A 27,249-nucleotide genomic window follows, 5' to 3' on the forward strand; every position below is an offset into this window, starting at 1 on the left:
CAGAGTCTTGCTCTGTCACCCAGGCTGGAGTGCGGTGGCACAACCTCGGCTCACTGCAACCTCCGCCTCCTGGGTTCAAGCCATTCTCCTGGCTCAGCCGCCCCAGTAGCTGGGATTACAGGCGCACACCACCATGCCCAGCTAATTTTTGTTGTTTTTAGTAGAGACGGGGTTTCACCATGTTGGCCAGGCTCGTCTCGAACTCCTGACCTTATGATCCACCTACCTCGGCCTCCCAAAGTGCTGGGATTACAGGCGTGAGCCACGGTGCCCAGCAAGGATTTAATATTTAAAATGGAAAAGCAGGCTGGAAGGGAAAGAAGGAGAGTATGGTCACATTACTGAATTCACATGTTGCAAGAGACAAGGAGCAAGTAGGGGAATAGTCAATTATGTATTACTCTCGTGCTTACCATAAGATAAGGTGGACATAGAGTAGTTAGCTGCAGTCAGTCCTGCTTAGGAATGAAAGGAAAGGCAACTTCTTGCATGACTCAGCTTTCAGCTTAAATTTTTTTCTTTTGGCAGAATGAATTGGGTTCCCAAGTTTTTATTTTCCTTTCACAAGCCTCTGAATAAACAAAGTTCCTGCCCACATGGCATTCAATTGCTAAACAATTATAATCACATAAATACATACACATATACGTATATGTTTTATATATATATATATATATAATATATATTTAATACATACGTCCGGGTGCAGTGGCTCACACCTGTAATCCTAGCACTTTGGGAGGCTGAGTTGGGTAGACTGCTTGAGCCAAGGAGTTCAAGCCCAGCCTGGTCAACATGGTGAGACCCCATCTCTACAAAAAATACAAAATACAAAAATTAGCTGGTCATGGTGGTGTGCACCTGTAGCCCCAGCTACTCAGAAGACTGAGATGAGAGGACTGCTTGAGCCTGGAAGGCAGAGGTTGCAGTGAGCCAAGATAGTGCCACTGCACTCCAGCCTAGGAGACAAAGTGAGACTCTGTCTCAAAAAACAAACAAACAAAATACATTCATATAGAGAGAGAAAAAGAGGGAGAATTTTATAATGATATGCATGAGGAATGTATAGGGGAAGAGGCTAAAAATAGGCCGAACTTACTAGTGAATATATTCAGGAGGTAGGACTGTGATTGTTTTTAAGTGATCGAGGGAAAATAGTGTACTGATTTTAAAATGGAAAACTCAACTTATTTTTTAAAAATTAAAACTCTGACAAGAGGGAGGTTTAATTGAAATCACAGTGGCTGCTCAGGGAAGTTTATAAATCTCGAACTGCAACGACTCAATAAGCATGAATTGCTTGTGATGATATTGACTTAATAGAGTTATTTTTTCCTTAATAGAAAACACATCTTATCAATATAATGTTATTTGTAAAGCATGGAAAGGACAAAGTGCTCTTGGGAGAAGTAGAAAGAGAATTTCACTCTGAGAAACCTATTTGGAGAAAGCTCCTCATCTCTGGCTTAGACTTTAAAATTAGTTAATAGTGTAATTAGGGATAGTTGTAGTAATAGTGGTATTGGTATGGTAGTTAGAGTTTAAATGTCACACAGAATACCCAGACCACCTTCCCCCAAGTGCCACTAAACTTATTCTTCTAATCAAACCTCTGCTCAAGGGATGTCTTCTTCCTCTCTTGGAAAGCTGTGTTCCTTACCTCAGAAACAGCCCTCCATAAACCTGCCCTTAAGAGAATCCTTGGCCAGGCACAGTGATTCACGCTTGTAATCCCAGCACTTTGGGAGGCCAAGGCGGGTGGATCTCTTGAGGTCAGGAGTTCGAGAGCTGTCTGGCCATCATGGTGAAACCCTGTCTCTACCAAAAAATAAACATTAAAAATAAAAAAATTAGCCAGGTATGGTGGTGCGTGCGTGTAAATCTCAACTACTTGAGAGGCTGAAGCAGGAGAATTGCTTGAACCTGGGAGGCAGAGGTTGCAGTGAGCTGAGATCGTTCCACTGCACTCCAGCCTGGGCAACAGAGCAAGACTCCATCTCGAAAAAAAAAAAAAAAGAGAGAGAGAGAGAATCCTTAAGACATGCCTTCTTGGATGCCCTCTGGAGAAATGTCAAGAGTAGCCAATATAGTCACCCCAGTCGGCTGTGGTGTGTGGGCCTCTAGTGTTTTAAGGTTCTAGGCAACTTAGCCCCTCCCAGGAGATGCTGATTTACTTTTCTCAAGGTGCATAAAGTCTCATCACACCAATATCTGAAAAATCTCTTTTCAAAGAGATGCAGGCAGCCTTCCAGCCCCATGATGTTAATACACAGGGTTAGGCAGCCTGGCAAGTGCACTGGGGCCCCCACTGAAGGATCATCTGGTTTCCATAGCAACAGTCCTTCCTTTCCACGGAGGATTCTATCATCTCTCCTGCTCACTCAGGCTTTCCAGAATGAATTGTTTTTTGTGACTATAGGTGTTTGTCCTTGATCCTGCAAAGAGAAAAGACATATTCATTTAAAACAAACACCCCCCACCCCGCCCCGCAACTGACTGCAGCTAGAATACTGCATTGCATCAGCTGGTCTTCCTTTCATTTAAAAATTCCATGTCCTTTCTCCATTTTGCTCCGTTCTCTAGCTTTATCCATCATTTTAGAAAACAGGTTTCTCTGACAGAAAACAAACAGATGGCAACTCCATCATCCTAAAACTGGCTGTGACGGGGCTCTAAAATTAAGTGTTCATGGGGCTCCCAGAAAGCCTAGGCTTGCATGGTATGTGTGGCTGACCTGTGAGTTACGATTGGAGGGGCAAGAGAAGGCTTTCTATACACAGATGGCTCCCCATACAGTGTCACAGTCTCTGAAGTGTTGCCTTTTGAGGTTTGTTTTCTTAGGTCAGGCACTGCTGTCCTGTCAGTATTTTCCTAAATTGCCAATACTCCTGGGAAGAGTAATACGTTAGGTTACTAATACTGAAAGAACTTGGGAAAGAGAGGAGGGGGTGCAGCGGGAAGGGAATAAAAGGGGCTCTGAAGACCACCTTTGTGTGCTTCACAGTGACATCTTCTGCAAGAGGGGAAGTGCAGGTCTTCATCTCTCTCTTTGTCTCTCTCTGTCACACACACACACACACACACACACACACTGCAGGACGCCTTCTGACAATTACAATACAGTAGTGAATTCACCGAACAGGACTGTTCCCTGAAACACCTACATACAATCCCGCTGGAAGACCTTTGAAACAGCCCTGCAGTGACTAAAAACTCTGTCCCCAGTGCCACTTGTTTAACCCTACAGTTTCCACAGACTAAAGGTAGTTTTCCTTTGGTTAATATGAAAACACCAAATAGTCAGATTGCTTTGTTAAATAAAGTGGATTACGGTGAATCTGTTCACTTCTATGTTTTATATTGCCCTCACTCCACAAATCACAGAAGATATTTATTTTTCCCCCAGTTAAATTCTGTTACCACAACCATTACAAACAAATGTCTATATAACCAAAATGTTAGTCAGCCCCATTCCAATGGAGCACATTTTAAGTGATGTTTAATGGGACATAATTTGAACATAAAATTCTATCTGTGCACTGTTTTCAAGTCTTTGAATCAGGCCTCCACCTATAGATGTTGGTTACCTATCAGGGAGCAACAGGTGATGCTAAGGATCACTTTGTAAAAACCAGGAATCACATCCCTGTAACTGACAGGAAACTGACTATATTCATCAGGGTTCTCCAGAAAAATAGAACTAACAGAATGTGTATATACATAGGAGGAAATTTTGTTTAAGGAATTGACTCGTGTGATCGTGGAGACTTTGGGAGCCCAAAATCTGATGGGAGAAGCTGGCATGCAGGAGGCCCAGGGAAGAGTTACAGTTCTAGTCCACAGGTAACCTGCTAGAGAATTCCTTCTTGTTCTGGATGAGTTTGGCCTTTTGTCTATTCAGGCTTTCAAGTGATTGGATGAGGCCCACCTACATTATGGAGGGCAACCTTCTTTACTCAAAGTCTACAGATTTAAATGTAAATCTCATCCAAAAACACCCTCACAGAAACATCCAGAATAATATTTGATCAAGTATCTGGGCAACATGGCCAAGCCAAGTTGACACAGAATTAACCGTCACACTGGATCACAAGGGCTGTGTTCAGCAAGAACTGACCTTGGTCAAACCCTGCCCCTGCCCTTATGCCCCACTCTTCTTCATTCTGGGTCCTGCTATTTCCATTTTATCATGTCTTCATCTTCTTTCCCCACCTTTCAGGTACCTTTCCTCTCTGACCCTATCCCTAGACTCACCTCCTACCCCCCACTCAAAGCCCTTCCTTCCTTAAAAAATGATGTTAGTCATTACACTTTAGGATTTAAATTAATCATTCTGTTAGCCGTCTTACTAACTTTCTCACTGTGAAAGGAAAGCATATTAAAAGAATTTCAGGGATCGACGAAGAGCTGAGGGAGGTATTTTTCTAGGAAGAGAAAGTGACTAACAGAAATCAAGACAAAGGGGGACAATCAGATTTTTCAGATGACAGAAAGCAGGTAAACTCTAGAGATCTAGAGAACTAGCAAATGGTCTCTTCAGGGTGTCATCATTGCAGTAAATGAGCTCTAGCTATTTCTGTCTTTATTCTTCAGGGTATTCAAGATTGCAGTTACTTAGGAGAGACAGAGCATCTGACTGATTGAACTTGGGTTCTGTATTCACTCCTGGGCCAGGGGGAGGCAGGGTACCTGGTCTGACAGTCCTTCCAAGGCTGCATGAACCAGAGGAGCTGTTACCAGAAAAGGGCAGAGTGAATTTGGGGCAGCAAAAACATTTATTGCTTATCGACTATCACTGCAAGGATTACTCAGAGGGTGATGCAGAATCAGCACCCCTCTATTTCTAAGATGACCTTGAATGTCAGAGCAAGGCACAAACAGGTTGCAGAGACATGTGGAGTATCTGGAGCACTGTCTCAGGATCCTTCCTCTCCTGCTGGATGCTAAGGACCTTAAGGACAAGAGCTATCTTTGCTTGCAATTTATTTGGCAGGCCCTGCAGGGCTGTGCAAATGATTCTATTTAATTTTTACTACTTGTGAGAAGGCACAGAGGGCTTTGAGAGGGCACAGAGGGCCTCTTATAATGGGTAGATATGCACATTAGCTGATACACTGGAAACTTTCCAGCAGGCATATCCTTCCAAGATGATAAATATTCTTCCTTGTTGGAGAAATTGAAGACATTTGTACTTGCAATCTAGCTTATCTAGTAAAACAAGACAAACTAACCAGTGATAGGGAGAAACATGTTTGCATTATTTTCCAACCTTGAAAATAATGTCAGATTATTGGACTGAGAACCAATGTCATCTTCTGGATCTGGTAATTATTTGGACAAAATCTCTTTGATTCTAGGTTCAAAGTCAAGGTGTCAAAAAAAAAAAAAAGGATACAACTGTTAAGCTTATTTAATTATACCTCTCACTGTACAAATAAGGAAACTAGGCCAGGCGTGGTGGCTCACTTCTGTAATCCCAGCACTTTGGGAGGACAAGGCCAGTGGATCACCTGAGGTCAAGAGTTCGAGACCAGCCTGGACAACATGGCAAAACCCTGTCTCTACTAAAAATACAAAAATTAGCTGGGTGTGGTGGCAGGCGCCTGTAATACCAGCGACTTGGGAGGCTGAGACAGGAGAATAGCTAGAACCCGGGAGGCGGAGGTTGCAGTGAGCCGAGATCATGCCACTGTGCTCCAGCCTGGGTGACAGAGTAAGACTGCGTCTCAAAAACAAACAAACAAAAACAAATAAGGAAACTGGGCTCAGAGAGATGAAGGTACACAGGTGATGGGTAGATAGGGACAAAGAAAAGAACCTAACCCTTTGGACTCCCCAAGCCATTCTAATATTTGTTTTTGTAAGTTAGTAGCTTCTGCACGTTAGTATGTCAGAACTCAACTAGTTTCCTATCTTTCCTGATAACCTCTCCGACCCACCCATGATTTAGCTAACATCTGATTTGGTCAACCAAGCACCCTGGTCCTCAGGTTCAGTGTGAGACTTAATGAAATAGGCGTGAATTTTTTTTTTTTTTTTTTTTTTTTTAGACGGAGTCTCGCTCTGTTGCCCAGCCTCGCAATCTCAACTCACTTCAACCTCTGCCTCCGGGGTTCAAGCGATTCTCCCACCTCAGCCTCCTGAGTAGCTGAGATCACAGGCGCCCGCCACCACGCCCGGCTAATTTTTGTATTTTTAGTAGAGACGGGGTTTCACTATATTGGCCAGGCCGGTCTGGAACTCCTGACCTTAGGTGATCCACCCAAAGTGCTTGGATTACAGGCATGAGCCACCGCGCCTGGCTGGCATGAATTTTTTCTTCTGTCCCTAGTTCATCTTCAGGTCACTGTCTGATTTTATTAGTTCTCAAATTTAAATCACTATGCATGCTCAGCTCTTCTAGTTATTTCCCTTCTTTCCTCATGTTGGGAAAAAAACCCCGATTTATTCTAATTGTGAGAAATGAAAGCGAACAAATCCTATCATTCCCTATTGTCTTGTGCAAATATGAAGAGAGATATGATAGTGGGGTAAATAAAAGCATCAGGGAATCCATTCGGCAGAATCTTTCTCCTCTCAGCGTGCTTGCAGTTAGATATTCTGAGATTCCAGTGGAGAAATGGTATGGTGGAAACATTGAGGTTCAACAAGGCTCAATTTAGGGCATATTTTATTCAGATTCTACCATATATATTGTCTAAAATGAAACAACACTGGGGAATGAAAAGGTTGGTCGAAGATGCAAGTTGCCTTTATTAAATAAAGACAAATATTTAATAAAAATAATGTATAAAAATAATCACAATTCACTTTCAAATCTGAAAATACTGAGTTTTCCAGGCTACACATAAATAAAACTGCCAACGATGACAATTCCAGCAACTAGGAAAACAAGTACGCCTACAAAGAAAAGTGAGAAAATTCATGGAGAATTTGAACTCAGAACCAACTCCTCGGAGCTGATCTTTTTTGGGGGAAGCCAGGGAACGCGCCGGGCGCTCTCATCAGCAAGACCATGTTTAAAGAGAGTGTGGAAGCACAGACCAAAATGGACATTCGAGGGCGAACAGCAGCTGGCAAAGGGATAAGTGATCCGAAGCATTAAAGCCCTTGAGACAAATTCCGGCGCGAACCGCCAGTGGGGGATGAGACTCGCAGGCGCAGCCCTCCAGGCCCCGGCGGACTGACACGCACGTTGGAAACGGAGTCACCCACCACAGCCCCGCAGCTCCAGCCAAAATGGCGCCGCCGCTCTGCCCACCCCGCGCACCCCAGGCGGCCGCCGAGCCCGCGCGCGCGCCCTGTGGAGCGAGGACGCCGGGGACGCGGCCAGGGACGCGCGCGTCCTCACGGCGGTTGCACGCCTGCGCGAGGGCGGGCGGCGGGGGCGCGCGCGCGGCGGGGGCGGGCTTTGCCGAGCGCAGAGCTGCAGCCGCCGAGCCGGACGTGTCCGCGAAGATGGCGGGCCGGGTGAGTGCCGGTCTGGGAGCCCAGGCTTGAGGCAGGGGCGCCGGGCTCGCGGGCACTCTGGGGTCCAGGCGGCCCCAGAGGAGTGGGAGTGAATCCGAGCAATGGGGCGCGAGGCCAGAGCGGGACTTGAGGGTAGCAGGGGAGCGGTGGCAGGGGATTAGCCCTCCTCAACAACTCCACCCCCCTCGAGGGGAGATGACCCCTCGTTACACGCGTCTGCTGCGCCTCCCGTCATCCTCCCTTCCCATCCCTTGGGGCTTGTTCCCTCGTCCTCCACACAGCCGCAGGGTCGCGGTCGCCGAAGCCCCCTCTGACGGGCTCTGGGGGTCTTTCCGCACCCCCTTGCGAGGGCTTATTAGGGGGCGCCGGAGTAACTGCCGGGAGCACCTCTGCTGCATTCGGGGCAAGGGGTGTAGGAAGGATCTTCAGGAACCCATGTCTGGCTCTTCACAAATTAAAGGTCGTTGGGAAAGAGGAGGGGGTGCCAATGACTTTTAGTGTTAAAGCCCGGCCATCTGGGGGACCTGTCAACTGTCGGGTCAGGCAGGAATTGGCTTTAGCTTGGAGTGAGGATGGATTTGGGGTGTCACGTTTTGTTTTTATGGATGACACTCGCTTCGAATGCAGCAGGATATGCTGTAGTTTCAGGGTTTTAAATTTACTTCCTCCTTTAGCCTTTAGGATCGTTGGGTAGGATGGGTTTGGCGAGGAGAGAGAGCTGGTTGAGTGCTGTATTGCAGTCTGCCTTGAGCTAAAAGCTCTCAAGGGATGAGTCCTGCCCGGAGATTACACTGGTCATAAACCTGAGGACATTAACTGCGTCATTGGGGGTGAAAGATGTGATTGACTGATCTATTTATAACAGAATTTTTGAATAAGTTTGCATAGATTTATGCATATATGCAAATGCCCTATCTGAAGGGACTTGTAGGTCATGAGATTCTAGAGTAAGAAGGGATCTTAAAGGTCATTTAGTTTGGCTTCTTTCTCTTCCTTTTCCCCATGGCCTCTCCTTTTAAGGCTAGTCCTTCTGCCAGTACTTCAGACCCTATCTGTATATTCACCTGCTCCTTCTTAACATAATCAAGCTTCTCTATCTTAAACCCTTCCCCCACCCCCACAGCTGTCACCTTTTCCCGTCCCAGTTTACAGCAGGAAATTTGATAGAGTTGTCTATATTTATTGTCTTCCATTTGCTTACCACCTACTCACCCTTCAACCTACTGCAGTCTGATTTCTGCCCCATCATCCCACTGAAACCTGTCCCTCAACTTAATTGATACCTTTCAATCCTTATCTTATTTGATATCTCAGCAGCGTTTGACGTTGTTGACCATGGCTTCCTTGACGGAAAGCACTCTTCACATGTGTTCTGGAATGCCTCGCTCCTGGTTTGACTCAGACCTCTCTTTTGCGGCCTCACCCTCCTCTACTTTGTTATTCATTGCTGGTATTCCTCAAAGGCCGTCTTCTCACTCTCAATTTCCCGCTCAGGCAATTTCTTCTAAGCCCATAGCTACAACTGTCTATATGCCAGTGATTCTCAATATTTTACCCCCAGTCCAGACCTGCCCTTTAAGTTTCAGGTTAATATGTCCAACTGCTTATTTAAAATCAAGGTCCCGAAACGCAGCTTTTTCAACTCCGAACCCAGGATCTTAGCCCACCTAACTTGTGTAGATACTCCTCGACTTAACGATGGGGCTACCTTCCGATAAACCCATTGTAAGCTGAAAGTATCAGAAGTTGAAAATGCATTTAATACACCCGATCTACCGAATATCATAGCTTAGCCTAGCCTGCCTTCCTTACACATGCACAGAACACTTACATTAGCCTACAGTTGGGCAAAATCATCTAACATAAACCTATATTATAAAATGTTGAATACCTCATGTCATTTATTACTGTGCTGATAGTGAAAAACAGAATGGTTGTGTAGGTCTTCAAAGTACAGTTTCTGCTGAATGCCTATCACCTTTGCACTATTGTAAAGTTGAAAAATGTTAAGTCAAACCATTGTAAGTCAGGGACCATCTGTACCTATCCAGTGAGATAGGAATATCTCACTGAATGATACCATCATCCACCCAGTTATATAGGCTGGGAATCTGAGGGAGGGAGAGGGTGGGTAACCCTTTATGTCTCTCTTTTGCTGTACCCATGTCCTCTGCCCTATCCCCCGGTAAAATTTGTCAGAGTTCTGCTCCTGCCCCCCATAAAGGTATTTAATTAGGGCCAAAGACTCTGGTTTGGGGGAATGGTTGCTTTAGACTAGTTCCAAGTCACCCACTGGACTATCTGGATTGGTCACATGGGTTCTGTCATTTTAACCTAAAAATCTCCAGTCTGTCCACCTTTCCACATCTTCATTTTTACCTCCTTTTCCCAAACTACCATCATTTCTGGTCTGGACTACTGCAGGAAGCTTCCAAGTATTTTTTTGTTCGTTTGTTTGAGATGGAGTTTCGCTCTTGTTACCCAGGCTAGAGTGCAATGGCGTGATCCCTGCTCACTGCAACTTCCGCCTCCTGGGTTCAAGCCATTTTCCTGCCTCAGCCTCCTGAGTAACTGGGATTACAGGCGCCCACCACCACACCCGGCTAATTTTTGTATTTCTAGTAGAGACGGGGTTTTACCATGTTGGCCAGGCTGGTCTCGAACTCCTGACCTCAGGTCATCCACCTGCCTTGGCCTCCCAAAGTGCTGAGATTCGTGCCCGGCCTCCCAAGTAGTCTTCTTAGAGCATGTGGCCCACCTCCAATTCATTCTTGACCTTCATTGTTCCTTCCCGTGCCTATTACTACTTAAACCCCTCCTCAGCAGCATCCCATTACTTTTGGGAGAAAACCAAATCCTTAATGAGGCCTTCAGGACTCTTTGTGGTTCTGCTCCTGCTTCTTTCCACTCATTCTCTTACTCTGTGTGCTCAGGTTATATGGTAAACGAGCCTTTCAATTCCTTGAACCTGTAGTTTCTCTTACCACAAGGTCTTTGCGAGTGGTGTTTCCTTTCTTTGTAACGTTCTTCCCCCCAACCATTTACCTCCTACTCAGACATCACTTAGCTACTCAAGGGAGGCCTACTCTGACCCCACATTATAAGTCAGGATCCTTTGTTATATACTCTTGAAGAACTGTATTCCTCTCCTTAGAGATTTATCTTTTTGTTACTTTGAGTGTGTGTTATTATTTGCTTCTACCACTTCACCTCAGTGAAAAGCAGAGAACATACAAGTTATTTAGTCATTATCAACTGCGCTTTGTGTACCTTGTGGGACTTAGGTACTCAATACATTTTTGTTGAAAATGAATCAGTCTCTGAACACTCTGGTGATAGATGGTATATTACCCTAAAGCTTGCCTGTAATGTCATACAGCTATGTTAGGTCTTTGTTATCTGGAGTTCCATGTAACTTTTATACGTAGTTACTATTTCTGCTGTTTCAAGCCATACGGAACTAAACACAATTCTTTTTCCATGTAATAGCTACTCAAGCTACTCATTTACTTGAATACAGGTTACATATCTCCTCAGATTTTCGATTTTGCAAGTTAAACATCCCCCAATTCCTAGCATATTTCATATTCCAAACCCTTCATCATTTAGGCTACCTTCCTCTGGAAGTAACCTAATGTTACTGTTTTGTCAACCTTTCTTCTAAAATGTGCCCAGAGTGGAACACAGTGATCAGAGAAGAATGTACTTAAGCTATTATTGTCTTGAGATGGACACTACCATTATTCATACCAGATAAAATTGTATTAGCGTTTTTTCTATAGTAAATCACATTCTTGGCTCATACTGAGCTTGTAGTCAGTGAAAACTCATGTTCTTTTAAAATCAGCTCCCTAGCTCCATTCTAGGTTTAGAGCAGTTTTATTGAACCTAAATCAAGACCTTATCCTTTTACAATTCATTTTTTTAGGTCAGTGCATGTCTGCTGTTTGTTGAGGTAATCTGGATTCTTAGTTCTTTCATGTTAGGAAACATAATAGCTGTCTCTTCCAGTTTGGTTAGATCTGTAGGTTTAATCATGACTTCTGTTTCTACGTTTGAGTTATTGGTAAAGGATAGAATAAGACAGGGTCAGAAATAACCCTTGGACATGCTGCCAGTGACATGCCTCTAGACTGATACCCATTAATACACTTGGGCACTGTTGCTTAAATACAGATGTGTCTCATTTAATTCCAACAAAACAACCTGCAAAGTAGGTAGTATTATCTTTGTTTTTTTGCAGAGAGAAAGAGAGAGAGATTTAGTAACTTGAGAAGTTCACATAGCCAGCAAGAAGCAGGGTCAAGATTTGAACTCAGATCAGCCTGGTACTGTTACCTAGTTCACCAGCTTAGTTGCAAGAGTGTAGTAAAGACTAGGTTTACCTCACCTAGAACTTTTTGGACATAATAATGTTCAGAAACTATCTTCTACCTTTTGGAAAATCTGAAAAACTTTGGCCCATCTGATTGTCTATCATTTCTTCTGATAGCCTTTATTTTCTAGTAACTACTGAGTGATTTTTAGCAAAAATAGTTCACCTTGTTGCAATACTTTTATTTGTGCATATTTATGGAGTACATGAAAATTTTTTTACATGTGTATAATGTGTAGTGATCAAGTCAGGGTACATGAGTCCAATGTATTAAGTATAGTCATCTACTCAGCTATCAAACATTGAATTTATTCCTCCTATCACTGGATCTTTTTTTTTTTTTTTTGAGACGGAGTCTTGCTCCGTCACCCAGGCTGGAGTGCAGTGGTGTTATCTTGGCCTCACTGCAACCTCTGCCTCCCGGGTTCAAGCGATTCTCCCGCCTCAGCCTCCTGAGTAGCTAGGATTACAGGCATGTGCCACCACGCCCAGCTAATTTTTGTATTTTTAGTAGAGACAGGGTTTTACCACATTGGTCAGGATGGTCTTGGACTCCTGACCTGGTGATCCACCCGCCTTGGCCTCCCAAAGTGCTGAGATTACAAGTATGAGCCACCGCGACTGACCTCATTGGATCTTTTTACCTTTTAACCCACTTCTCTTCAGCCTTTCTCTCCCTTACTCCGCCTTCCCAGTCTCTGTTATCTATTTTTCCACTCCCTGCCTCCTTGTGTTCAAATTTTGTAGCTCCTACATATATGTGAAAGCATGCAATATTTGTCTTTTTGTGCCTGGCTTATTTCACTTAAGAGAATAACCTCCAGTTCCATCCACATTGCTGCAAATGATATGATTTCATTCTTTTTATGGCTGAATAGTATTCCATTGTGTACATGTATGACATCTTCTTTATCCATTCATCTGTAGATGGACACTTAGGTGGTTGATTCCATATTTTTGCTATTGTGATAGTACTGCAATAAACATGCAAGTGCAGCTATCCCTTTGATACATTGATTTCTTTTCCTTTGTGTAGATACCCAGTAGTGGGATTGCTGGATGGAAGGTAATTCTATTTTTAGCTTTGAGAAATCTCCATACAGTGTTCCTTAGTGGTTGTACTAGTTTACATTCCCACCGACAGTGTATGTGAGAGTTCCCTTTTCTCTGCATCCTTACTAACATCTGTTACTTTTTGTCTTTTTAATAATAGCCATTCTGACTGGGGTAAGATGATATCTCATTGTGGTTTTGATGTGCATTTCTCTGATAGTGGTGTGGAACATTTTTCCATGTCTTCTTTTGGCCATTGTATGTCTTCTTTTTTAATGGGATTATTTGTTATTTTCCTTTTGAGTTGTTCGAGTTCCTTGTATGTTCTGGATATCAGTCCTCTGCTTGATGAATACTTTGCAAATATTTTCTCCCATTCAACAGGTTGTCTCTTCATTCTGTTGATTATTCTTTTGCTGTGCAGAAGCTTTTTAGTTTGCTTAAGTCCCATTTGTTTAGTTTTCTTTATGTTACCTGGGCTTTTGATGTCTTAATCATAAATTCTTTGCTTACACCAATGTCCAGGAGTGTTTTCCCTAGACTTTCTTGTAGTATTTTTATAGTTTTGGGTCTTAAAATCTTCAATCCATTTTGAGTTGATTTTTGTATATGGTGAGAGATAGGGGTCTAGTTTCACACTTCTGCATGAAGTTATGCAATTTTCCCAGCATCATTTATTGAAGACAGTGTCCTTTCCTTAGTGTGAGTTCTTGTCAGTGTTGTTGAAGATCATTTGTCTATAATTATGTGGTTTTATTTCTGGATTCTCTATTCTGTTCCATTGGTCTACATGTCTATTTTTATACCAATACCATGCTGTTTTGGTTACTATAGCTTTATAATATATTTTGAAGTCAGATAATGTGATGTCTGCAGCTTTGTTCTTTTTGCCCAGGTTTGGTTTGGTTGTTTGGGCTTTTTTCTTTTTCCTTTTTTGGTCCCATATGAATCACATTGGTATTTTGATAGGGATTTCATTGAATCTGTAGATTGCTTTGGCAATATGGTCATTTTAGTGATATTAATTCTTTCCACAAGCATAGGATGTTTTTTGATTTATTTTCTTTCATTGGTGTTTTGTAGTTTTCTTTGTAGAGATCTTTCACCTCCTTAGTTAAATGTATTCCTAGGTTTTTGTTTGTTTTCGGTAGCTATTGTAAATGGGATTGCCTTCTTAATTTCTTTCTTGGCTAGATCCTTATTGATGTATAGAAATGCTACTGATTTAAAGGTTTTCTAAACCTACAGATATATAATCAGCAAAGAGACAATTTGACTTTCTCTTGTCCAGTTTGGATGCCTTTCATTTCTTTCTCTTGTCTGATTGTTCTGGCTAGGATTTCCAGTACTGTGGTGAATAGGAGTGGTGAAAATGGGCATCCCTGCCTCATTCCAGCTTTTAGAAGAAAGATCTCACCTCTCCTCATTCAGTATGATGTTAGCTCTGGGTTTGTTGTGTATAGACTTTATTATTTTGAGATATATTCCTTCTATGCCTAATTTGTTGAGAGTTTTTTTAATCATGAAGGGATGTTGAATTTTATCAAATGTTTTTGTTGTTGTTGCAATACTCTTTTTTTTTTTTTTTTTTTTTTTTTTTTGAGACAGAGTCTTGTTCTGTTGCCCAGGCTGTAGTGCAGTGGCGCGATCTTGGCTCACTGCAACCTCCACTCACTGGGTTCAAGCAATTCTCCTGCCTCAGCATCCCTAGTAGCTGGGATTACAGGCCTGTGCTACCACACCCAGCTAATTTTTCTATTTTTAGTAGAGACAGGGTTTTGCTATGTTGGCCAGGCTGGTCTCGAACTCCTGACCTCAAGTGATTTGCCTGCCTTGGCCTACCAAAGTGCTGGGATTACAGGCGTGAGGCACTGAGCCCGGCTGTTGCGATACTCTTAATGGGTTTTATATTTCCTTTTTGTGGGGGACAGTTTATTTTGCATTCTTACTACTTTTGATATTCTGACATCATCTTATAAGTGGGATTTATATTCACTATGTAATTGAAGTTTTTTCCAATGAAGCACCGTATATAGTTTATCTGGGAAATTGGCTGAAGAATAAAATGTGTGATGTTATTCAGTGTACAGTTTCTAGGTCATCAGAAGATACCACTACCTTCCCACTACTGGAAAAGAAAAAAGAAAAGTTTTCCACAGTGCCTGAACTGTTTTGTATGCTTATCTTTTAAAATTGCCAGAAATCTCACTTACTGGAGATTCAGCAGTCCCTTTCTGAAAATACACATACTTTAGTGCAAATAAAGCCAGTGGATCTCTTTCTTCATAAGTCCTTAAACCTAGTCGAGGTCATCTGTTTGGCAGAGATAGGAGTAAGATAATGTGAAATAGGAACCAACGAGAGAGAACTTGCTTAGGAGTTGAAAGGGGTATGGAAAGATGTTAGAGGTAAAATTTGTCGAATCTAGTGTTTTGACTAGGGCAGGCCAGAATATTCAGTATCAGTATCAATATCAGAAGCTTTTGTAGCCTTTGTTTAGAAACCTAGTCATTTATAACATTTTGTGGGTGAATGACATCATTACCAAACAAACTTTCAGATGAAACTTTGGAACTCAAGCTGTAAATTGTGGATAGCTCATGTGCAGTACTACAAATCAAAACAAATACTATAAAGTGTTTGGTAGTCCATTTCCTGAATGAAAGTTTGTCCAAAGTATATCAACTTTCTGCAGTCTTACATGCAGTAGTTATTAGTTTTGTGTATCGCTTTAGTGGATATTTTTAAAAGTATCTTCAAATGCAATGAATTTTAGGAAACAAAACAATTCTTTAAAGCATCATTAGATAGCTTCTTCTTTCTGAAACCCAGAGGAATTTATGTATAGGATGACTCTTTTTTTCAAGTAGTTAAGTTAAGGTGCAAAAGTATAAGGTAAAGTATATTATCTTACCATTGAAAATTTTGGCAGTGGCAGAAGAGCGAACCCTTACAAATACCTTCATTGGGCAATACACTAAGCACTTGCTGTAATGCTTTTTAAAACATCTATACTCTGGCTGTGGTATTTTAAGTGAAAATCTCTCAGTGAGATACTCTTTCGTATTTTAGTACTGATATCCTTAATATTGCTCTGAGAGCTACCTTATACTGACTTCAGTTTCCTAGTGATTTAAACTACTAATTTCCAACTTATTTTTTTTTATAGTGAAAACTAAATATTCCTTTTGTAGATGTAACCATTTCTGGAAGCCCTAAGTATTTTTGAATGAGTATAATTCATGCACACTTTAAGAGATTTCAAGCATGACAAGCACAGTGAATAACATATATCCATGTGATTACCACTGAGGTTTAAGAAATGTTAACATATGATATCTGCTTCAGATATTTATCTTTTTAAAAATAGAACATTACAGCTGGGCATGGTGGCTCACACTTGTAATCCCAGCACTTTGGGAGGCTGAGGCTGGTGGATCACCTGAGGTCGGGAGTTCGAGACCAGCCTGGCTGACATGGAGAAACCCCGTCTCTACTAAAAATACAAAATTAGCCGGGCATGGTGGCACATGCCTGTAATCCCAGCTACTCGAGAGGCTGAGGCAGGAGAATCGCTTGAACCTGGGAGGCAGAGGTTGCGGTGAGCGAGATCACAACTCCAGCCTGGGCCACAAGAGTGAAACTCAGTCTCAAAAATAATAATAATAAATAAAAAATAGAACATTACAGATCCAATTGACTCTTCTTTGTATTGCTCCTTTTTTTTTTTTTTTTTAGTTTTATTTAAAAATTTTTTTTAGAGGCTGAGTCTCACTTGGTGGCCTGGGCTGGAGTGCAGTGGCGCAGTCATAGCTCACTGCAGCTTCACACTCCTGAGCTCGAGCAATCTTCCTGCTTCAGCTTCCTGAGTAGCTTGGACTAGCAGAGGTGTGCCACCACATCTGGCTAATTAAAAAAAAGTTTTTAGAGATAGGATCTCTCTGTGTTGCTCAGGTTAGTCTCAACACCTGGCCTCAAGTGATCCTCCCACCTCAGCCTCCTGAGTAGCTGTGGTTGTAGGTGGCAGCCACCACACCTGGCAGTATCCCTTCTTGAGACCACTGACCTTTCCCAGAAGTAATCACTGTCCTGAAGTTGGTATAGATTCTTTCTGTCTACATCTATGCATGTTTATGCTCAAAAACAATATATTGCTTTGTGTGTCTTTAAAATGTATATAATGGTTTTATGCTATATCTTTCTTTCTGCAACCTGCATTTTTCACTTAAAATAATTTTGAAATTTAGTCCTGTGGATATATAGTGAGCCAATTAATTCTGCTTAGCTACTCTGTAGTCTGTTTTGTGAATATACCACAATCATCTACTTTCTTATTAGAGGACAATTTAGGCAGTTCCAATTTTATTTTTCCCGGAATGTACATTATTTTAGTCGAGTGCCATTGCCACATTAGCGATATTTTGGTTAGTGAGGGACTGCAGATAGGAAGGTGATCCCAAAAGATTATAATGCCATATATTTACTCTACCTTTCTATATTTACATATGTTTAGTTACACAATTACCCATTATGTTACAGTTGCTTACAGCATTTGGTGCTGTAACATGCTGTACAGGTTTGTAGCCTAGGAGCAATAGGCTATACCATATAGGTTTGTGTAAGTACGCTCTATGATATTCATATAACGATGAAATCACCTAGTGACACATTTCTCAGAATGTATCCCTATTGTTAAGCAACACATGAGTGTGTGTCTCCATGCATATATGTGTAAGAGTTAGCATGTGTGTCCAGAGGTAGAATTGCTGGGCGATAAGTCATACTCATCTTTACCTAGTTATGCCAGTTTATACTGTCACTAGCAGTATATGAGTACCTGTTATTTATATCCTCTCCAACACTTAATATTGCTGACATTTTAACTTTTACAATATAATAGGTGTAAAACTATTGTTTAAATTTGCATGTTGTCCTCATTACTAGTGAGATTAAGCATTTTTCATATTGGTCATTGGGATTTCCCCTTCTGTGAATTACTTTTGTATATTTGCTCATTTTTTCTGTTGGGCTGTGTATTTTTTTAGTGATTTGTATAATTTTTCGTTTTTTGGGGGGTAGGGTATGCTTTGGATTCTAATCCTTTGTTGTAAATAGCTTCTCTCAGACAGTGATGGTCTTTTCATGATGTTTATAGAGTGTTGGATTTAAATTTTATAGTTATAATTACCCTTTTTTTTTTTTTACCTTGGTGATTTGTGCTTTTATGTGTTTTTCAGGAAATCTTTCTCCACCCTGAAGTCATTTTCTTATAAAAGTTTTAAAATTTTGCCTTGCACATTTTGGTGATTGATCAGGAATTTATTTTTGTGTTTGGTGTGAATTATGAACTAATTTTATCTTTTCCATATGTATAACCAGTTGTCTCAATATCATTTATTGAGTCCATTTTTTTCCTTTACTGATTTGCAATGCTATCTCTGTATTATATCCAGTTCCCATATATGTGTGGGTCTAAGTGTCGACTCTATTCCGTTTCATAATTCTTTTTGTCCATATTTGCATCAATAACACTGTTTTAATTGCTGTAGCTTTAAAATTATTCTTGTTATTTCATAGGGCGTACTTTCATTACCTTTCTTAATTTGGCATTTCTTGGCTCTTTTCCGTATGAATTCTGGGAACAACTTAATCCCCACTCCTTTAAAAAAAAAAAAAAAGACACTTTGGCCTGGCATGGTGGCTCACACCTGTAATCCTAGCACTTTGGGAGGCTGAGGCGGGTGGATCACTTGAAGCCAGGAGTTCAAGGCCAGCCTGGACAACATGGCAAAACCCTGTCTCTACCAAAAATTAGCGGGCATGGTGGCACACGCCTGTAATTCCAGCTACTTGGGAGGCTGAGGCATGAGAATCAGCTTGAACCCAAGAGGTGGAGGTTGCAGTGAGTTGAGATCGTGCCACTGCACTCCAGCCTGGGCAACAGAACGAGACAGTTTTTTGTTTGTTTGTTTTAAAGACACTTTTAACCTTCCGCTATGGATTTTTGACCTACATTTTTCCTCTTGTATTTTATAAGAGTAGACACAGAGAGCACTTCAATAAAATTCAGCTCAATAACTTTATTAACCTGATCTCCTTTTCTTTGACTTTAAGCTGAAAGTGTTAATTTCTCACAACTTGTGCTCTATAGATTTGAAACCAAATCAATTAGCATCAGCTGTTTATGAGTAATGCAGGGTATTTTGGTCTTTTGCTAAATTCAGAAAGAAATGTTAAAGTGCTGATGGATTTGCACTAGCTGTATAGATCTTTGGTGGAGGAGGAAATGGGAAAATTATTAATTTCAGGTAAGAAGTCATTTTTGAAATGCAAGATTCATTTCTTTTTAAAATCACCACATAATAAAAACTTTAAGGGCTGCATTGGTGGGTTTTTAAAAAAAATTGTGAAGTGTTTTTAGTGTTATGTGCTGACAAATATTTTTGTAGTTGCTTTGACAAGCAATGAAACTACCAATTATCACTAATTCTGAGTCTTCCAATGAACCTCTGTGTCAAATTTTTAAATTTAATTATCCTGACTATTTTTCTCCTAGAGAATAATATTGATATAATTTTGTGAACCATAGCAGACAGTTCCCATTGCTGAGAATAGAGCCTGGTGTGGGGATATTATGATTCTTGAATGGTTGAACAAGACATTTGCTTCTGAACATCTTAGTAAATTATCACTTCTGACAATGTCTGTAGTTTGAATTTTGATATTCTCTGCCAAGGTATTGAATACTCTAAATAATGTTGTTTATTCTATTATTTAAATCATTAGTATTATAGATCTAGCTTTAAACAGCTGCTGCACTCCAGTCCTTTTTCTTCACCTGCAGATATTGAGTCTGATAACTGTTTTGTATACATAGCCTTTCAGTAAATCTACTTATCAGTCATCAAATTAACTTAATTATAAGTTAAATGATGAGATGGACCAAGAGTGTTATTGAAATCTCATTTCCACACATTTCTTCTCTTCTTTTGTAGAAGGTAATGAAATGAACCTGTCAGTGTTCCTGTTTTTATGAAGTTTATTTCTCTTAGTACAGTGATTCTGATAGTGGGTTCTGCAGACCAGCAAATTAGCATTATCTGAGAACTTGTTAGAAAAGCAAATTCTCAGTTCCCACTTCAGGCTGACTAATTTAGAAACCCTGGGGTAGGGCTTAGCATTCTCTTTCAATAAATTCTCCAGGTGATTCTGATGTATGTTAAAGTTGAGAAGCATTCACTTAGTGTTTTGAGCTCTCCAATTTAGTTCCTTATAAATTGTTGAAGATATTTTTTCCAGATTTCTTTCCAAATATGTGCTCAACCTTGTTACTGATAGGTTTCAAGGTTATCGTCTTCTTCCCATTAATACCTTCATCTATATCCAATTTTCAAACTTTTAAGAAAGCATGGCTATTTTGCTGCAGTATGGTGAATTAGGTACTCTGACTGACCTTCCCAGATAAACAATTTAAAATTCTAGATAATTTTTTTTTGGAGGGAGGACAGGGTCTTGCTCTGTCACACAGGCCGGAGTGCAGTAGTGTGAACATGGCTGACTGCAGCCTCGACCTGTTGGGCTCAAGCGATCCTCCCACCTCAACCTCCCGAGTAGCTGGGGCCACAGGTGCACACCACCATGTCCAGCAAATTTTTTTATTTTTTGTGCAGATGGGGTCTTGCCTTGTTGCACAGACTGGTCTCGAACTCCTGGGCTCAAGCAGTTTTTCCACCTGGGCCTCTCGAAGTGCTGGGATTACAGGTGTGAGTGACTGTGCCTGGCAGATGAAATATTTTTTAAGTAAAAACCTTATGTGCATGGAGATAGCTGGCTGAAAAGTAAGGAATAATCAGGCCAAAAACTATGTGAAGGTGAAAACCCAGAGATATAAGCCAAGTACTGCTGCCTTGAGGACATTATTTGCAAATGACATTACTTGGAAAACCTAGTTAACTTGTGCTTGTGCCTCAAGAAGCTCAGAGAACGGAAGATAAAAGTAGTTTTCTGGTAGAACGTCCCACCTCTCCTGGTAAAGATGGTACCCCAAGGGTCTATACATCATAATAAATGAGAACTAGTAATAAACGTACCTTGTCTAAGGATCGGAAAGAAAAATTTCCTGCCTCAAACTTTGGTGGTGATGGGAAGGGTACAGAAATTCCCTGAGAAGTTTTACCCACAAGCTGACCTTCATGCAGGTTTGAATCCTGATTTTATATTACCTGGATGGTATGAAAATCTTAAGCCAGTAATTAAATATAAAAGTGGTACAAGAGTGACGATGCCTTAAAATGCCTAAGAATGCCTAAAAAGCAGCAAATACAAAGCTTCTTGGGAGAACCCATCTTGATCTTAGGATTTAGAAAATTCCTAAACATAAAGCTGTAAGAAATATGAACTCACATTCACAAAATGCAGAAAGAAATAAGATGCAATGAATGAGAGGAAGCAGAAACAATAAAGAGCAGAATCAGAACCTGCAAAGAGTTCACATATTGGAGTTAGCAGACACAGATTATAAGTACATATATTTAATATGCTTATAGAAAAAAAGAAATTTAAAATAGGAATGAGGAGCAAGTATACAAAAATGACCAGTGTACAAATTTAATAACAGATTAGACACAGCTAAAGAAAGATTTAGTAAAGTGGATCTGAAAAAATTGCAGTATAGAGGCAAGAAAATGAAAAGTAATAAAAGAGTTAAGAGAATACAGAGGGTAGAATAAGAAGGTTCAGTCTAGTCAGAATTCTGGGGCAGGGGAGCAGGGGCATGGAAAAGAATGAGGCAGAGGCAGTATTTGAAGAGATAATGACAGAGAACTGATGAAAAACAACCTACAAATTTAGGAAGCTAAAGAATCCCAGAAAGGATAAAAAGAAAAAAAATTCACACATAAACATTTTTTAAAGAAACTACATGATACCATAGAGAGGTCTTAAAAGCTGTCAGAGGCTGGGCATGGTGGCTCACGCCTGTAATCCCAGCACTTTGGGAGCCCGAGGAGGGTGGATCACCTGAGGTCAGGAGTTCAAGACCAGCCTCAACGTGGAGAAACCCTGTCTCTACTGAAAATACAAAATTAGCCGGGCGTGGTGGTGCATGCCTGTAATCCCAGCTACTCAGGAGGCTGAGGCAGGAGAATTGCTTGAACCTGGGAGGTGGAGGTTGCAGTGAGCCGAGATCGTGCCATTGCATGCCAGCCTGGGCAACAAGAGCAAAACTCCATCTCAAAAAAAAAAAAAAAGCTGTCAGAGAAAAAAGATATTACCTTCAACAAGTATTTGGCTGTCAGCTGTTTTCCTGTCTATAATAATGAAAGCCATAAGACAGGGAGTAATATTTTCCATATGCTTAGAGAAAATAATTGTCAACCAAGAATTGTATATCTTGTGAAGAATGGGGGCAAAATTAGACACTTTAAAACAGACAAACACTCAATGTTGTAACCATCAAACCTTCCCTACTAGTGGAAATTCAGATCAATTTCCTGAAGGCTAAAAAAAAAAAAAAAAAGTGACCACTGATGTAAAGTCTGAGATTTAAGAAGGATTGAAGAGTAAAGAATAATGGTAAATCTGTGGATATATTGAAATAAATATTGGCTTTATAAAATGATGTATGCGGAGGTTTTAAAAATAGAACTAAATAGGCCAGGTGTGGTGGCTCACGCCTGTAATCCCAGCACTTTGGGAGGCTGAGGTGGGCGGATCACCTGAGGTTATGAGTTGGAGATCAGCCTGACCAACATGGAGAAACCTCGTCTCTACTAAAAATACAAAAAAAAAAAAAAAAAAAAAAAAAAAAAAAAAATTAGCCGGGTGTGGTGGCGCATGCCTGTAATCCCAGCTACTCAGGAGGCTGAGGTAGGAGAATTGCTTGAACCTGGGAGGCAGAGGTTGCAGTGAGCCGAAATCACGCCATTGCACTCCAGCCTGGGCAACAAGAGCAAAACTCCGTCTCAAAAAAAAAAAAAAGAACTAAATATATGATAACAACATCCAAATCAAAAGAGTGGTTAAAGTATTTTATGATCTTTATACTGTTGAAGAGAAAGGTAAAGCTATTCAATTAACTTTAGATTTTGATAGGTATGTGTATTAGTATTTTCAGAGTAACTACTAAAATAATATAAATATTAGGAATAATTTATAGCAGAAAAAACAATTTTTAAAAGGCAAGGAAGAAGTGAAAAACATAGAAAAGGTCAGATAAAGAGGAAACAATAAAATATAGAAATCAAATCAAATATATGGTAGACTAAATGCTTCATTCAGACAAAGAATGTCAGATTGGATTATTTAAAAGCAAGCAGGCCGGGTGCAGTGGCTCACGCCTGTAATCCGAGCACTTTGAGAGGCTGAGACGGGTGGATCACTTGAGATCAGGAGTTCGAGACCACCCTGGCCAACACGGCCAGCTGGCCATGGCCAGCTAATACAAAAATTAGCTGGGTGTGGTGGTGCACACCTGTAATCCCAGGTACTTGGGAAGGTGAGGCAGGAGAATCACTTGAACCCAGGAGGCGGAGATTGCCGTAAGCCAAGATCATGCCACCGTACTCCAGCCTGGGCAACAGGGTGAGACTCTGTTTCAAAAATAAATAAATAAATAAATAAATAAAAGCAAGCAAACAAACTTACTGAAACAACACAAAATCCAGCTATAATTTTCAAGAGAGATAGCTAATACATATGAATGTAGAAAGATAGAAAGCAAAAGGATGGAAAAAGTCTATCAGGCAAACTCTAACCAAAAGGGAGGTAAACTAACTATATTAGCATCAGACAATATGATCTTTCAGACAAAAGAGACAGCTAGAGATAGGTCCCTCAACAATGAGAAAAGGTTTATTTATCCATAAAGGTAAAAACAATTCCAAACTTGTGTGAACCTAATAATTGCCTCAATATACAAAGAACAAAATGACACAATTATAAGATGAAATAGACAAATCTACCATGGTGAGGAGTTTCAAAACTCCCTAATTGAAAAATTAAAAAGACAAAATGGTTACAGCTGAAAATTAAAATTAAAAATTCATTTTCTCGGTTGCAATAGCCATTTTTCAAGGGCTTACTAGTGACATGTGACAATGGCTGCTGTATTGGACAGCACAGAAAGTACTTTTGCACTGCATTAATTTAGAAGACTTAATATAATTAACAATATTAATAATTGAGTATTGAACACCACATCCAAGGTGCAGATCTCTGAATAATATCTGATCATAATGTGGGCAAGTTAGAAATTAATGACAAGAAAAGGCAGAAACATGGGAGACAGGTGAAGATTTCTTAAACAGAATATAAAAAGCACTAGATACAAAGGAAAAAAGTGATTAATTGGATTTCATCAAAAGACACTGACTTAGTTTGCTTAGGCTGCCATAACACAATACTATAGACTTGGTGGCTTAAACAAAATAAATGTATTTTCTCACGGTTCTGGAAGCTGGAAGTTTGGGACCGGGGTGCCAGTATGACTGCGTTTTGGTGAGCACTGTCTTCGTGACTTGCACACAGGCTTCTTGCCACGTGTCTGTGTGGCGGAGAGACAGCAAGATCTCACCATCTCTCTTCCTTTTCTTATAAGGCCACAGTCTTGTCAGATTAGGGCCCTTCGCTTATGACCTAATTTAGCCTCAATTATCTCCCAAAGTCCCTATCTCCAAAATAGTTGGGGTGGGGGAAGTGCCTTGACTAATGAATTTTGTTGGGGGCAGTGGGGAGTGCACATTTCACTCCATAGTAGACACCATTGAGGAGAAAGACCAGAGTGGAAGAAGGTATTTGAAATACATGTATTTGACAGCCAGGCACGGTGGCCCACACCTGTAATCCCAGCACTTTGGGAGGCCGAGCTGGGCGGATCACGAGGTCAGGAGATCGAGACCATCCTGGCTAACACAGTGAAACCCCGTCTCTACTAAAAATACAAAAAATTAGCCAGGCGTGGTGGCGGGTGCCTGTAGTCCTAGCTACTTGGGAGGCTGAGGCAGGAGAATGGTGTGAACCCAGGAGGCGGAGCTTGCAGTGAGCCGAGATTGCGTCACTGCACTCCAGCCTGGGCGACAGAGCAAGACTCTGTCTCAAAAAAAGAAAAGAAAAAAAGAAATACATGTATTTGACAAGGACTTGTACCTGGAATATATAAAGAACTACAAATCAAGAATAAAAAGAAAGGACAGAAAGCCAATGGAAAAATGAACAAAGGATTCAAACAGGGATTTCACAAAGAACTTACCTGTAACGTATGTTAAATGCTCAACCTCATTAGTCATCAGAGAAATACAAGTTAAAACCTCAGGGAGATATTACTACACACCCACCAGAAAGTTAAATTAAGAACACATTTGTCATGACAATTCTGGGTTTGATTTTGTTTTGTTTTTTGAGATGGAGTCTTGCTCTTGTCGCCCAGGCTGGAGTGCAGTGGCATAATCCCAGCTTGTTGCAACCTCTGCCTCCTGGGTTCAAGTGATTCTCCTGCCTCATCCTCCCGAGTAGCTGGGATTATGGGCACCCACCACCACGCCTGGCTAATTTTTGTATTTTAGTAGAGATGGGGTTTTGCCATGTTGGCCAGGCTAGTCTTGAACTCCTGATCTCAAGCGATCCACCTGCCTTGGCCTCCCAAAGTGCTGGGATTACAGGCATGAGCCCGCGCACCTGGCCTGTCATGACAATTCTAAGTGGTGATGAGGATGTGCAGCAGCTGGAACTGATGAAAATGCATGAGCACAACCTCTTTGGAAAACTAGCAGAATTCCCTAAAACTGAATGTAGGCATGATGCCCATGACCCAGCACTTATAGTCCTGGGGGTGGGAGGAGTGAATATATTTCTATTCATGATTTCTATCTCTGATGACAGAAATTAAGCTAGTGGGTATCTGTGGTTGAGTAGAAGGATAGTGACTAGGAGCGGGCAGTATGGGATGCTGGTAATGTCCTCTTGACCTAACTGTTGGTTACCCTGGGTGTGTTCACTTGTAGAAATTCATTGAGCCAAACACGTACAATGTATGCATTTTTGTGTATATATGTTCTTCTTCAATAAAAACTTGATTTAAATAATGTTCTTTTTCTTAAACTGGGTAGTAGGTTTATGGTGTTTTATGTGTTGCCTGTGTTTTATACATATTTTATTCCTGTTCAGTGTCCAAAAAATATAAAAAGTAGTCACTGCTTTGTTGTTAATTTGAGCATCTCCTGCACCTAGCACAGTGCCTGGGACATTATAGATATTTATTAAATATTTGTTCTATGGAAAAGAAGTAGGCTAGTAATTTCTTTTTGCTTTCCAACAGCCAGTTTTTGATTCAATTATTTGTAAATATGATTTCTACTCAGTTGTTTCTAAATAATAAAATATGTAAATACTATTATGTTTATATTTATTAGTAAGCTGAATTTATTAAATGAGAAACCTCTCAATATTAAGGACACATCATAAATTATTAGCATGCTGTGTTATAATGACTAAAAGTAGTATCAACAATTTAGATAAGTATAGTGTGGCCTTACGGATGTAAGTCCGTAAGATCATGCAGCATTGAAGATGTGCAGTTTACTAGATCTTCTAATATTCTCGGGTGTCTCACTGTTTCTTTTTTTTTTTTTTTTGAGATAGGGTATCACTTTGTCACCCAGTCTGGAATGCAGTGGCGTGATCAGGGCTCCCTGTAGCCTTGACCTCCTGGGCTCAAACCTCTCACCTCAGCCCCCTGAATAACGGGGATTACTGATTTGTGCCACCAAGCCAGGCTAATTTATTTTCTTTCTTTCTCTCTTTCTTTCTTTCTTTCTTTCTCTCTCTCTCTCTCTTTCTTTCTTTCTTTCTTTCTTTCCTTTCTTTCCTTCTTTCTTTCTTTTCTCTCTTTCTCTCTCTCTCTCTCTCTCTCTCTCTTCCTTTCTTCCTTTCTTTTTGTAGAGTTTGGGTCTCACTATATTGCCCAGGCTGGTCTTGAACTCCTGGCCTCAAATGATTCTCCCTCCTTGGCCTCCCAAAGTGTTGAGATTATAGTTTTCAGCCACCGCACCCAGCCTCACTGTTTTCTTCAGTTGTTTCTGAACAACTGGAATCTCAGCTGTCTTTTTCCATTAAATCCCGTGTTCGTTCCTCCATACCATGCTGCCTCTTGCCCATTTTTGCATTTCTCCTTTCTGCTTTCCTGAACATCCTGAGTCTTACTGGGCTGGCATTCCCTTGTTGGGACAGGGGAGAGGCTCTAGGCCTTGGATCCTTGTTCTGATTCCTTCTCCAAAGAGTTTTCCCTTTTTCTTCCCCTTTCAAAACAACATAAGTGCAAAAGCTTTGTCAGGATGTTGGGAATTAAAAAAGCTTCA

At 40.9% G+C, this 27,249-nt stretch overlaps 2 protein-coding genes across 3 annotated transcripts in view; both read left to right on the forward strand.

Moving 5' to 3' along the window:
- LRRC37A2 (leucine rich repeat containing 37 member A2) overlaps positions 1–27,249 on the forward strand; it is a 676,337-nt gene that overhangs the window by 210,526 nt on the left and 438,562 nt on the right. The window lies entirely within an intron of this gene.
- The window catches only part of NSF (N-ethylmaleimide sensitive factor, vesicle fusing ATPase), a 166,796-nt gene continuing 146,898 nt past the window's right edge, over positions 7,352–27,249 (forward strand). For both annotated transcript variants that reach the window (NR_040116.2, NM_006178.4), the window contains exon 1: positions 7,352–7,470. Coding sequence is in view for 1 of the 2 variants with exons in the window: in NM_006178.4 (NP_006169.2) it covers positions 7,459–7,470 (12 nt within the window). In the remaining variant the exon portion in view is untranslated. The remainder of the gene's footprint in view (positions 7,471–27,249) is intronic.

The sequence above is a fragment of the Homo sapiens genome, chromosome 17 (assembly GCF_000001405.40).
Source record: "Homo sapiens chromosome 17, GRCh38.p14 Primary Assembly".
Lineage (NCBI taxonomy): Eukaryota > Metazoa > Chordata > Mammalia > Primates > Hominidae > Homo > Homo sapiens.